General features: G+C 53.0%; 2 long non-coding RNA genes across 2 annotated transcripts, besides 2 other annotated features; one reads left to right on the top strand and one right to left on the bottom strand.

Annotated features, from left to right (window-relative positions):
* Positions 5060-5280: a silencer, noted in NCBI's record as "fragment chr14:101544070-101544290 (GRCh37/hg19 assembly coordinates)". NCBI's record gives its function as "represses an EF-1alpha promoter that drives an FKBP-Casp9 reporter gene in an ReSE screen in HepG2 liver carcinoma cells {active_cell/tissue: HepG2}" and the evidence as "EXISTENCE:reporter gene assay evidence [ECO:0000049][PMID:32094911]".
* Positions 5357-11035, top strand: LOC105370670 (uncharacterized). The gene is made up of 5 exons (NR_188195.1): positions 5357-5441; positions 6307-6479; positions 8452-8532; positions 8884-9627; positions 10113-11035. It is a non-coding gene; the product is annotated as an uncharacterized LOC105370670 (long non-coding RNA).
* Positions 5804-6461: an enhancer, noted in NCBI's record as "H3K4me1 hESC enhancer chr14:101542889-101543546 (GRCh37/hg19 assembly coordinates)". NCBI's record gives its function as "activates a minimal SCP1, AML or CMV promoter by ChIP-STARR-seq in primed H9 embryonic stem cells {active_cell/tissue: H9 hESC(primed)}" and the evidence as "EXISTENCE:reporter gene assay evidence [ECO:0000049][PMID:30033119]".
* Positions 10076-13102, bottom strand: MEG9 (maternally expressed 9). The gene is made up of 2 exons (NR_047664.1): positions 12958-13102; positions 10076-12571 (listed from the first exon to the last, which is right to left on the bottom strand). It is a non-coding gene; the product is annotated as a maternally expressed 9 (long non-coding RNA).
* Between the last annotated feature and the right edge of the window lie 457 nt (positions 13103-13559).

The raw sequence follows: 13559 nt of genomic DNA, 5'->3' as shown, positions 1-13559 counted from the left end.
TACCCTGGGCTGTGCTGAGGAGGGACCCCCAGGTCCTTGCCACTCCCCCAGGTCTCTCATCCTCTCAGTGGGCTGAGACTGTGGAGCCGGAGGGCCTGAGTGCAAATCCCAGCTTGCCACTTGGAAGCTGTGTGACCTGGGCAAGTTACTTAACCCCTCTGTCCTCTGCTCATAAGTAAAGAGGGGATGGCAATAACACCCCACAGTCCCCGTGGAGCTGGGATGAGGATTCAATGAAGCTACGTTCCTAAGATGCTTAGAACGATGCCATGCACAGGATGTGCCCTGTAGTGACAGTTGTCACTACCTGGTTGAAGCCTGGCCTCAGTCTTTACCAGTGAGGAAGAGAAAACCAAGCGGCCTCTGCTCCCGTGAAGCACTGGAACCTGATCTGGGCCAAGTTATTCTCCTGTTGGACAGGAGCCATCTCGCAGGAACCAACCTCAGACAAGTGTCTCTGAGACTGTGACAGAATTAGACCAAGGCTAGGCCACTCTTTGTCCAAACACAGACAAAAGCAAGGTCACTGTGCCACCCTCAAAATCCCAGCCCGTCCCTTTGTTGGCAAAAGTGAGTGGCGGCAGCTGCTTTACGGGTTCTCCATTCTGCTCTGCCCACAGCAGATGAGCTTTGTCGAGATGCTTGATCGTAGAACCACCCTGAGTTCTGACAGCATCCACACTTGAGGGATCTCCTGCTTCTTTACATCCTCCCCCAAGCCCCCAGCTCTGGCCCTGTGTGTGCACGAGTTCTTTCTAACTCCCCGATGCATGCCTGGCGCTTCCCTGCAGGGCGTGCTCTCTCTCTCTGCAACATGTAATGAGCTCAAACTGCGTAGCTACAGGTGGGTCCCAGTGGGCTCTGGCTGGAGGGCTTTACTTTTGGTTTTATTTGTACAAATTTATGGAGTACATGAGAAATATTTTATATGTATATAATGCAAAGTCATCAAGTCAGAGTATTTAGGGTATCCGTCACCCAAGTACAATACATTTTCTTAGTATAGTCATCCTACTCTGCTATCAAACATCGAATGTATTCCTCCTATCTTACTGTAGGTTTGTACCTTTAACTCACTTCTCTTCATCCTCTCCCTTCTTCCCCACTCCCCTTCCCAGTCTCTGTTATCTATTTTTCTACTCTCTACCTCCATGTGTTCAAACTGTTTAGCTCCCACATACAAGTGAGAACAACAGATATTTGTTTTTCTGCGCCTGGCTTATTTCACTTAACATAATAACCTCCAGTTCCATCCGTGTTACTAAAAATGACATAATTTCATTCTTTTTTATGGCCAGATGGTAATCCATTGTGTATATATACCACATTTTCTTTATCTGTTCTTCTACTGATAGACACTTAGGTTGATTCCATATCTTTGCTATTGTGAGCAGTGCTGCAATGGACGTGTGAGGGCAGGTGCCTATTTGAAATACTGATTTCTCTTCCTTTGGGTAGATACCCAGTAGTGGGATTGTTGGAGCAAATGACAATTCTCTTTTCAGTTTTTTGAGAAATCTCTGTACTGTTTTCCACAGTGACTGCACTAGTTTACATTCTCACCAATAGTGTACAAGCTCCCTTTTCCCTGTATCCTCGCCAACATCTGTTATTTTTTGTCTTTTTATTAATAGCCATTCTGACTGGGGTAAGATGATATCTCATTGTGGTTTTGATTTGCATTTCCCTGATGATTAGTGATGCTGAGCATTTTTTCATATACCTGTTGGCCATTTGTATGTCTTCTTTTGAGAAATGTCTATTCGTGTCCTTTGCCCACTTTTTAGTGGAATTATCATTTTTTTCCTGTCAAGCTGTTTGAGTTCCTTGCATATGCTGAATATTAGCCCCTTTTGGCTGAATAGTTTGCAAATATTTTCTCCCATTCAACAGGTTGTCTTTTCACCCTGTTGATTGTTTCTTTAGCTGTGAATAAGCTTTTTAGTTTAATTAAGCCCCATTTGTCTGTTTTTGTTTTTGTTGCATGTGCTTTTGAGTTTTACTCACAAATTATTTGCTTAGACCAATGTCCAGAAGAATTTTCTCTTCTGGTATTTGTATAGTTTCAGGACTTACATTCAATTCTTTAATCCATTTTAAGTTGATTTTTGTATATGGTGAGAGATAGGGGTCCAGTTTCATTCTTCTGCATGTGGCTATGCAATTTTCCAAGCATTCTAATGTAAGTTCCTGTGGAGTTTGTCAAAGATCAGTTGGCTATAAATATGTGGCTTTAGTTCTGGGTTCTGCATTTTGTTACATTGCCCTAACTGTGTCTATTTTTATACCAGTATCATGCTGTTTTGGTTACTATGGCCCTGTAATATATTTTAAAGTCAAGTAGTGGGACGTCTATAGCTTTGTTCTTTTTGCTCAGGATTGCTTTGGATATCTGAGCTCTTTTTTTGGTTCCATAAGAATTTTAGGATTGTTTTTCCTAATTCTGTGAAGAATGACATTAGTATTTTGATGAGGATTGCATTGAATGTATAGATTGCTTTGAGCAATATGGTCATTTTAATGACCATATTGTTTATTTGTGTAATCTCCAATTTCTTTCATCAGTGTTTTTTGGTTTTGCTTGCAGAGATCTTTCACCTCCTTGGTCAAAGCTATTCCTAGGTGGGTTTTTTTGTTTTTGTTTGTTTGTTTGTTTGTTTTGGTAGCTTTTGTAAATGGGATTGCCTTCTTAATTTCTTTCTCAACTAAATCATCATTGGTGTATAGAAACATTACTGATTTTTGTACATTGATTTTGTATCCTGCAACTTCACTAAATTCATGTATCAAATCTGTGTTTTTTGGAGGAGTCTTTAGATTTTTCTAGATACAAGGTCATATCATAAGCAAAGAGGGACAATTTGACGTCCTATTTTCTAATCTGGATGCCTTTTATTGGGTTCTCTTGCTTGATTGCTCTGGCTAGGACTTCCAGTACTGTCTTGAAGAGGAATGGTGAGAGTGGGCATCCTTGTCTTCCTCCAGTGCTTAGTGGAAGAGCTTTCAACTTTTCCCCATTCAGAGTGATGTAACTATGGGTTTGTTGTAGATGGCCTTTATTATTTTGAGGTATGTTCCTTGTATGTGCAGTTTGTTGAGAGTTTTTAGCATGCAGGGATGTTGAATTTTATTAAATGCTTTTCCTGAATCTATTAAGATGACCACACGGTTTTTGTCCTTCATTCTGTTGATGTGATGTAGCACATGCATTACATATGTCAAACCATTCTTGCATTTACATCAGGTATAAATCCCACGTGATCATGGTATGTTATCTTTCTGATGTGTTGTTGGATTTGATTTGCTAGTATCTTGTTAAGGATGTTGGTGTCTATGTTTTTCAGGAACACTGGCCTGTAGTTTTATTATTATTTTTCGTTGTGTCTTTGTCTGGTTTTGGTATCAGGGTAATACTGGGAAACCTTGAGGGAATGGATAAATTCCTAGAAATATGCCACCTACCAAGACTGAATCAGGAAGAAACAGAAAACCTGAAAAGCCCAAAAACAAGTAGCAACATTGAATCAGTAATAAAAAGTCTCCCAACAAAGAAAAGTCTAGGACTGGATGGATTCACAGTCAACTCCTACCAAACATACAAAGAACTAATACTAATACTCCTGAAACTATTTCAAAAAAATCAAAGAGGAAGAAATTTTCCCTAACTCATTCTATGGGACTGAAGGGCTTTGACCCCAGCTGTGGGGCTCTGGGCTTACGGTGTCATCACTCTGCGCTTATCTGGAAATGAGATGAGATGCCTGGGAATGATGAGGTGAGGCCTGTGGGGCACCGGAGCACAGAAGCGCCACCCCACCCCCACCCCCAAGCTCCCCACCAATGGAGACACATCGGGCTTGCCGTCCTCCCAGGGGGAAGAGCCTTGGGCGAGACCATCTTCTAGTGCTCTGCCCTGCCCTGCTCTCGGGAAAGGCAAGGGTGAGCACCCTGTACAGCGAGCCCTGCCCACCAAGGAGCCACAGGCACAGGCGTGCTGCAGAGCAGATACGCAGCCTTTGGTCCTCTTGCATTTGTGGAAACTGCAGTTCAGAAGCATTTTCCCTGGGGACCCAGAGTTTGGTGCAGTGCCCAGCAGGGGAGGTGGGGTCTCCCCAGAGACATTCGGGAACTGTGGGCAAGCAGGTGGGCTTAGTGGCTCTTGGGATCAGGCATTCATCCCAGTGTACCCTGTGCCAAGCCCCACTGAGCCACCAACTCAGATCTGCTGTCACTCCATGATATCTTTTGTACGAAGTTTTGGCTTTAGAAGGCCGGGATCCTGAGATCTAAATTTTTCAAGCATTTTTACCCTTCTGTTGGTCCAGGCTTATACAGCTCCCTGCACCCTCCGGCAGCTTCCTGGAGGAAGGGGGCTGGGGCTTTGGAAGGAGGGGAAGATCCCCTAGAGTCAAAAGAGTGGGGGTACTGAGAGTGAGAAAGAGGAGGACTCCCATGGACCTCACTGGGGCTGGGAGAAAGATCTTGGGGGAGCACCTGTCCCCCTCATTGGCTTGGCTGTGTGTTCTAGAAGGTGTGAGAAGAGCCTAGCTACTCAGAGCTGGGGGCTTTCTTGAACAAGGGTCCAAAGTGGATGCTGGGGGCTCTGGAAATTATGGGGCCAACGGAGTGGAGTGAGTGTCTGCATGAGCACAGAGGTGAACAGCTGGAGCCAGGAGGACCCAATGGGTGCATGGTCCATTTTCCACCTGGAAACTGGAGGCCCAGAGAAACCAGGAGTCTGCCCAGGGTCACCCAGCAAATACCCAGAGGAACCAGGCAGAGAGCGAGGCGGTCTGCCGTCCCCCTAGGGTGCTCCAACAGGGTGTGGGGGCCCTGAAGCCCACGGCAGCCCCTCACCCCCCCCCCCCCCCAGGCCTGAGCCGGTCTGGCAGTCCTCCATCCTCTTCTGGAGGCTGGGGGTGGGACAGCGTTGCAGGGGCTCTGTGAGCTGCAGATCCCGAACCCAGAGCAGCCCCCAGCTCAGCGGAGGGGTGGCTGTGATGTCTGGTAAATGTGCGGCTCTCGGAAACCCGCTCTCCTCCCTGCGCCGCCCCTCCCCTGCACCGTGCAGTGGGGGCTCGGGAAGTCTACGTCAAAGGCTCAGACACCTGCTCCCTGCACCCAAGCCGTCATGGTCGGCTTGCCTCCGCTTGTCCAGAAGTCTCCAGGCTTGGGGCCCTGATTGCCAGCCGGTGACACTTGGTCTCCCAGCAGCTGCCCCTTGAGGGGAGCGAAGCAAGGTCAAGTTCTCCAGCAAACCCCATCCGCCCCTCCCTCCTCCCCGCCAGATCAGTGTGGGATCGGCAGCGCCTCCCCCCGTAGCCCCTCCCTCCAGCCATCCCGGCGCTGCCCACCCACCACACCGCTAGCGCCTCTGAACCTCGCCAGGCACGTCCGGTTCTGCGGCCCCCACTCCGCCCCCGCCTGCCGGGAGCCGCGCAGTGAGTTACTGACTCCGCCGGCGCGCACTTCATTTATTCAATAGCTCTGGGCCTGAAAAACACCGGGGAAATTGCATCCCATTTTCCCCAAGCCCATTAGCAACCAGCGGTCTCATTCTCGATGATTCCGCTGAGCCACCCCGGCTCTAGGGGAGGGGGTTTTATTCTGCCTCTGCCGCCACCCCCACCCACCCTCAGAAGGGCACCAGCTTTTCCAATCTGTGAACCCCAAAGAACTGCAGGGCAGGGACCCCTGGGGACCCCTCAACCCCCCTCACCCCCGCAGCCTTCAGTACCTCCCGCCGGCATTCCTCTACCCCCTCTCCATGTCCACCCAGCCTGGCCCCAAGGGCGGATTTCTTCTGGCTCTGGGCTCTATTCTCGGGAGGGGGGCACTGGGGTGGGGGCGCCCAGATTTGGAGTGGCAGCACCCCCTCCGCCTCCACCTCGGGCTGTGGGACCGCAGGCAGGTGGCTTCTCTGGCCTGCGTTTACTTTTTTTTGGCTGAAAAGGGGAAAGGTGGAACCACTGGCTGGCTGCCAGGAAAGGGCATTGGGGGAGATAAGGGGTGTAAAGGCCTTGACGAACGGGGTCCTCTTGGCCAGGAAGCATCTTGGGGCTGCACTGGGCACACGGCATTTTCCCCAACCCAGAGGTGGGCGCCCAGTGCCAGTAACTGGTCCAGGCTTCTAAAGGTCCCATTCCTTTGTCTCTGCAGCCTGGTGCGCCCTGCCAGGCAGTTGCGGGGAGGTGGTGGTCTCTCTGTGGGGTCATAGTTCAGAGCACGCGTGCTCGGAGACATAGTTAAATAGAAGCTGAATGCGTGAAATATGAATACATCCTCACGGTCCTCGTCTCGTTATAGGTTACAAAGTGCCGGGAGCCGTGCAGGGCCAGTGAACCCCTCGCTGAGACTCAGTTTGCTGCCATCACAAGTGCTCTGAGAATCCTGGAGAGGGAGGATATTGGAGACAAACGGGACTGCTGCCCGCCTTTTAGGCGACCGTTGGAGGCTGCTCTGTGCCGGACACAGGCAGGGTAGGTGGAAACCCCGCAGCAGTTCCAAGTTTTGGGGTTTTCGGGGGAAACCCATGAAGTTACCCCTCCATGGAAGGGGTGGTCTGCACCCGTTCTTTTCCCCAAGCGGGGGGAAGAGACAGCCTTAGTACAGGCCGGGCTTGCCCCCTCACCGGGGCTGTCTGTGCAGCTGTCACCCTCCTTCCTCCTGGACCTGCCAGGAAAATGTCAGCCCCGCGAGGGAAATGGCAAAGGGAAGATGACAGCAGACGAGAGAAACAACAGCCCCACCTGACACAGCCAGGACCCTGCGGAGAGGCGGCAGGAGCCCCCACTTCCTCGGGACTCAGCCTCTGCACCCCGGGACTGCCCATGGCCCCTCTGAGGGCTCTCCTCACTCCTTCCTCCCTCATTAGGGAAGAGGCCAGTACCCAGCAGCCATGGCCCAAGCGCAGGTGGTCTGTTCTGTGCACCCAGCATCCCCCTAGGGTCTAAACCAGGTATGGGGCTGAAATGGGAGAGGCAGAGAAGGTTGGCAGAGAGGCCTGGGGTGACGGAGGAGGAGTGGGCTGCTGGGCTCTGTTCCGGGCATGCTTTGGTGTCTCTCTCTCAAGAACCCAGATCCTATTATGAGGACACGGAAGCCCAGAGGGTTCAAGTGACAGCCCCAAGGTCACAGGCATGGGCGAGCTGGGCTAGTGGCTCCGGTGTGTTGGAGCATGAGGCTCTGGCAGCATTGATGCCACCTTTGCCCCCACACCCATCCTCAGGGTTAGTGCCCAAGTTGGGGGTGAAACCTGGCCAGCTTCAGTCCACTGACTTTTCAGCATCCCTTCCTGAGGCTTAGAAACTTCTTTGTCTTTTGGAAAACAAACTCTTTCTGTGCAAGAAACTCCACTCAATTCTTGGGCAGTGTGACCCCAGTCTTTTTAGTCAGAAGTGTCACTTCCTCTGCTACCCACCAAAGAGGGGGTGTGGCCAGCCGAACAGTCCCCAAACCAGGGGTGGTACCCCCTGCGCCTCAATAAGAAAATGAGTGTGGCCAGGAGGGGAACTGGATGAGAGTGAGAAATCACCCATCTGTGAGAAGAGAGGCCTCATCACCGGGGAGAGAGCGCAGAGTCAGCTTCAGTAGTGACTGGGACAGAGAGAGAGTCCTGTGGCTGTGTGATATCAGACAAAGTCACCCAGGGACAGCTGCACAGGTGTCAGTTGCTTTGGTCTTACAAAGAACCAGAAGAAAGCTATGCTTCAAAGAGAACTGGGTCCACTCTGATCCCAAGCCTTTCTTCTAGCCCAGGTCCTGATACAGCACCCACCCACCACCAACGTCCAGGGCTCCTTGCCATCCCTACCAGCACGTGCTTCTGCTGCCCAACTCCCTCGACTCTTTCCTACCCATCCAGGGTCCCTGGCCTCTGCTCAGGCACAGAGAATGCCCCCATTCCTCAAATGCATGTCAGTGTGTGTGCACGTGTACATGACAGGGCACGTGTGGTCATTTAGAGATGTGCACATTCCTTAACCCATTGAAAGTCTTGGCATGGGTTGTGGCCTCGCAGGAGAGCTGTGAGTTCATGGCAAAGGGGGAGATGGGGTGGAGCTACCAGGGTGAAAGTGGCAACGGGCCACAAAGCCCTTTGCTGGGATTTTTGGCTCAGACAAACTCAGGGAAGGCTACTCTGTGGGGCCTGCCAGTCCTGGGACCCCCCACTGTACCTCAAGCCCACCTGGGTCACAGCACTGATGGCTGACCAGTGTTCCTTGGTCCCATGTATCCTGCCCTGTGACCCCGAGCTCATTTGCCTAAGATGCATTGAGGATTACCAATCCCAGTGCCCTCCAATTCTCCCTCTCCACTCATCCCAGGCGCCAGGCTCTGTGCCAAGCCCAGGTCATGTTCCCAGTTTTGAACACAACTCTGTGGCCCTGACTTGAATTTCTACCTCTGTATCCTCCCATCAAGTCTGTGGCCCACTCCTCTCCCTTACAGCTCCCACAGCTCAGAAGTCAGCGGAGCAGAGTCCCCAGGAAACCAGGGTCAGGGATGGAGGCTGCTGAGGAGCGGGTCTGGGTGAGGACCAGCTTGTGACCTGTAGCTCCGGGGACCAGAGTGTGAACGATTTTGGCATAGATGCTGCTCTGAGCTTCCTAAGAGCAAAAACGGGCTGTTGCTGTTTGCGGTTCTTGTTCTGTTTGGGGGATGCCATCAGGTGCTGGGGGCGTATCAGGAGGGCACAGCCCCAGAGCCAGCAGTGTGTGGGGGGCTGGACCATCAGGCCAGGTCCCCGGGCCAGGGTGAGGTCTGGGCTGCAGGTGCACAGCGACCTCAGGATTGGTGGGGGTCCTCCCCAACCATGGATCACTGAGGGGGAGCCCCAGTTTAACGTGAACCTAACAGGCATTTAACTCTCATCCTGCCTAGGAGGTGGAGGCCAGATACAAGAAAACCACAGTACCAGTAAATGACAAAGGCTGGATCTTAACCCAAGTCCTCCGACTCTGAAGGCCATACCCAACAGGTCCCATTTTATTTGTTTTACTTTTTTTTAATTGAAGAAAAAAAAACTAGCATTCCCCTACAGTGCCCCCCACCTGGTGGGGACATCTTGGGTTGGCAAGGCCACCACTTTCAAGAGTAGAAGTGTTTTTCAGCAGGAGGAGTTGGCTGCACCAAAGGAGCTCAGGAGAAGCTGGAGTCTCAGGCCCAGCAGGAACAGCCAGAGGTTTTGCAGCTTTGCCCAGCGGCTGGGTTCGCCGAAGGGTCTCCCTGGGGGTTCCCAGCATGAGCCGAAGCCACCCTCCCCTGTGGGATCTGTGAGGCCAGGCATTGGGCCTCTTTAGGCCTCAGTTTCCTCCCCTGTCATAGGCAACTGACAGTCCCTCTGGAGCGCCACTGGGGCTGCAGAGGGAGGCCGGAGAGATGGTGCCCCCCCTCCTCCCCGCCACCCCCACACACAGCCCTCAGCAGGATGGTGGCTGCCTGGCCGATTGCTTTTGCATTTGCAGCAGAGCGGGGGAGTGAGGCCAAGCTGAGTGCCCCCTCCCCCTGCCCAGCCAGCTCAGACCCAGGCGGTGGAGCAGGAAGGCTCTGGGGAAAACAGTGTGAGTCACCGGGCGGCCAGAGTGTGTCCTTCCCTGCTAGCGCACTACACGGCAGGTTTCATAGGTAATGATGTCATTTATGAGGCTCCCGCTTGGGGCTGTGTCTGAGTCAGCCTGGCTGTGTCGTGACCAAGCGGAGGCTGGCAGCAGCGAGGCGTGGGCACGGGCTCTGCCGCCGGGCTCTGGCCTCTGCCCCCTCGTGGGGCCCAGGCTGCCAGCCCCAGGCCTGGAACGGGCAGGCAGTGGGGCTGGGGGAGCCGTTTGAGACCTCGGATTGATGAAGAAGCATGCATTTTCGTGACCCTGGCTCCTGCCTTGGAACGGGGGGCTCGCATGCAGTGGAGGGGGACCCAGGAGTGAGCCCCGACTTCAGGAGGTTGCTCCCTGCAAAGTGCTTGTTGGGCGAAGGCCAGTGACATTCTGTGCGAATCCCTGCTGAAGGCAGATGGCCTCCGTTGTTAAACCTCCCGCTTAACAAACATCATCTCCGAACATACAGACACACAAACATATTTACATTTTTATAATGTGTATTTATTATTCAAATAGCTTGACAGCAAAGTGTTTGAAAACGAAGAGCAGGAATTCCGCGGTTCCTGCCCGGCCTCGCCATCCAGCTGGGAGAAGAGCATGGTCATTTCCTTCACTTAGTCCACGGCCACTCGGCGCTCATCCCCAGCACAGCCCTCCCCAGGCTGCGGCAAAGACTGTTGCTGTCCTGCTGAGGGATGTGCCCCCGGGGATTCAATCGAGATTCTGTAAGATGTGGGGGATGTGGCGGGGTGGGGGGTGGCTTCTCCACATCCCCAGGGCTCTCCTTCTTCCCCAGTGAGGTGGGAGAAGCCGCAGATTGGGGTCTGCTGAGGAGCGGGCCTACATGAGGCCCAGGTCGTGACCCATGGCTCCGGGGACCAGAAGGTAAACAGTTTCGGCACAGGGTGCTCCCACTAGGTCATAGGTGGATTCAGCCTTCTCTGAGAACCGAGAAGATTCTGGAGTCTTTTGAAGCAGGAAAGGAGATCAGAGGAGGAGATGGTGGCAAAGCGGGGACTGAGACTCTTGAAATGTGTTTATCCCAGGCAGAGCAGCCGCTGAAAGGGGAGATGGAGAGAGAATGTCAAAAGCAGCACTGGGTGTTTTCCTGGGGTCTCTCCACAGTGCCCCATCATTTCCGAATCACCAGGCCCGCTGGCACAGGGGTCTGCAGCCCAACCTCGCAGAATGACCCCCTCTCTGCAGGCGGGCATCACCCTGACAGCCCCCTCCCAGGACAGAAAACCTATAGACACCTGGCTGCTGGGTGTCAGGCCACCCGCCCGTTTCTCTTCCTTTCCTTCCAGCCTTTCCTCTCCCAACCAGCCCCCTCCCCACCCGGTCCCCCTTCTATTTTTCCTGGCTAAAACCAGCCACAGATACCACCACACCCGGAAAGAGATAAATAAATAAAAGAAAAACAACCTCAACTGTGAAAAGCAGTCCAAATCTGAATTTTTTCCGGCCTGAGTTAATTACACTTTAAATTGGCATGTTTACTGATCGGGGAATTTCAAGTTAACAGAGACAGCGCCCCCTCCCCAACTGTTTGTACAGTAGAACTCAGCAGGCTGGCGGGCTCCCCCAGGCCTTGGCAGGTCCTGCCGCTCCCCTGCCAACGAGAGAGCATAACAGAAACATCTATTTTTGAGTGTTAGAGAAAACGAAGATCTCACAGATGGCGGGAAGCAGCATTCTGGATGGTTTCCTGCACCCAGGCTCTGTGCACCTTCTCAGCAGCCTCTTGCCCCAGGAAAGACCAGGGCCTTTGGCCTCTCGGGACCCTGCAAGCTAGCTGCCTTGCACAGGGGGCTGTCTGCCTATCCCATCGTCGAGGGCCGAGCCTGGTCGAGGCTCCCCATGCTGTAGCACTGTCCAGTTGGCTCTGACCCCTTCTCCTTGGAGCAAGGCTGTGTGGGGTGCGGAGGGGGCTCTGGGCAGGAAGCAGGAGTCCCTGATGCATTCATTCACTCAGCACACACCAATGGAGCGAGGAGCTACACCAAATAAAGTGGTGGCCTGATCTCTGCCTTCTCAAGACCGACCCTAATAATGGGCCTGGGTCTCCCCTAGACCCCATGTACCTTGGAAAAATCCCATCCCTGCTCCAGGCCCAAATAGAGGCAACCAGTGGATCTTCTGATGGATGCAAACCCAAGGAATGCCTCCGGGGACAGGCCAGACCCCCAGCTCACAGCCACATCTCTCCTGGCAGAAGTGGCCTGATGTGGCCACCCCCGCCCCAGGCCTTGGTTCATGGTCGGGATCAACCGCAGGCTCTGCCGTGGGATGTCCACACCCTCAGGACCCGCCGGGTGCCCTGTGCTGCCCACAGAGGAGAGACAAGGCCAACAAGCATCACTGAGCACTTTCTCTGGACTCAGTCCTGTGCTAGGTACAGGGATGCCATTGTGCACAAGTCAGAAACAGCCGCGGCCCCAGCAGAGCCTGCAGTCTGGGTAGGGAGATACTTGCTGATCTAAGAATCAGAGCAGTGGATATCTGACTGCAAATTGAGACTGCCTGTGAAGGATGAATCAGGGAAGGCTTCCTGGAGGAGGTGGCCTCCCAGAGCTCAGCTTGTCCTTCCTTGAGGTCCTTTCCATTCCCAGTCCCCCTCTGGTCACTCACTTGGCCCAGGGCCTAGGGCCTTCGGGCAGGCAGTGCAGCTGCACAGGCAGGTGCTGTACCTGCTCCCCTGCACGCTGCTGGGATAACGGGAAAATGATGAATGAGGCCCCATCATGCCCTGCTTCCCGGCCCTCAAGCCCATTCCCATCCATGACAAATTGTCCCTCTACCTCCACAGGGTCTTTTCAGCAGCCTCGCCTGGGAAGCCTTGGCAGCACTTGGTGGAGATTTATGCCCATCTTCCCCAGATTCTTCTTTGTTTTTCTGCTTCTTTATTCCCTCAAAATATGCTTTTATTTATTCATTCCACAAACGTTCTCTGAGTGCCTCCCGTGTGCTTCCTCCTGGTGATAGAGAGATCGGGTTCAGTACACCCTCCTGTGTTGAACACCTGCTTTGCACTGGTGTCTATGGTCAGATTTCATCCAAGGAGACAGGCATGAACTAAGCACCTACTATGAGCCAGCACTGCCGAGCCAAGGGCCCTGGCTTCTAAAAGCTCTGCCACAGGGTGGCCGAAACCCCAGCCCCTTGGGTATTGAGGTCCTGGCTTGGTGATTTTGCAGCCCTTCTTGGTCTGGGTCGCCTCAATTTTTACAAAGAAGGAAGCCGCTCGTTCATCAGAGGTGGGTCTTGACCCCAGAGTCTCAACCCCAAAGCTGGGGAGACAGTGCTCAGAACAAAAGCCACAGCAATGCACCCTGCCCTCTGTGGACCTCAGTTTTCTTACCTGTCCAAGGGTGTGAGCAGAGAGGCAGGACAAGAAGGGAGCAGCCCTGACATTTGGGGGTTCTCTGAATCCTTGAGGACCCCTGACGACCGTGAGCTCCGTGGGTCTCCAGGACTGCACCAGCCAACGTGTCTGTGCAGAGTGGTGGTACACAGACAAGGGTGGGGGTGGTGAGGGGAGCACCTGGTCCCACCCAGGAGAGATCAACCAGATGGTCTCAGCGCACCCACCACCTTCACTAGGTCTTGTTCACTCCATGCAACTGAGGCAGTGAATATAGCCCTCAACTGCCATCAAGCGGAGTGAAAAACACAGGTCAACATAGGTCTTTGGTATTTGGATGCCCATCATGCTTTGAGTCTTCTGACAAAGCAAGCAGCCCTCTCCCCAGGCCAGACACGCACCAAAGCATCCCACTTCATGGGTGATGGCACCAAGTTGGAGAGATGACAGGTGAGTACAGAGAAAAAACCATGAATATTCTGGCAAGCTAAGTCTGGGGGAAAGTGAGCCTACCTCATCATATGATACCAAGAAAAGAGGCCCATTCGGTGAGCGATCTGTCTTCCAGGACACAGGGGCTATTCCTAAAGCCCGTGCAA

Source organism: Homo sapiens, chromosome 14 (genome assembly GCF_000001405.40).
Source record: "Homo sapiens chromosome 14, GRCh38.p14 Primary Assembly".
Taxonomy (NCBI): domain Eukaryota; kingdom Metazoa; phylum Chordata; class Mammalia; order Primates; family Hominidae; genus Homo; species Homo sapiens.
The sequence above is the reverse complement of the archived record's forward strand: the minus strand, read 5'-3'. Positions and strand labels throughout refer to the sequence as shown.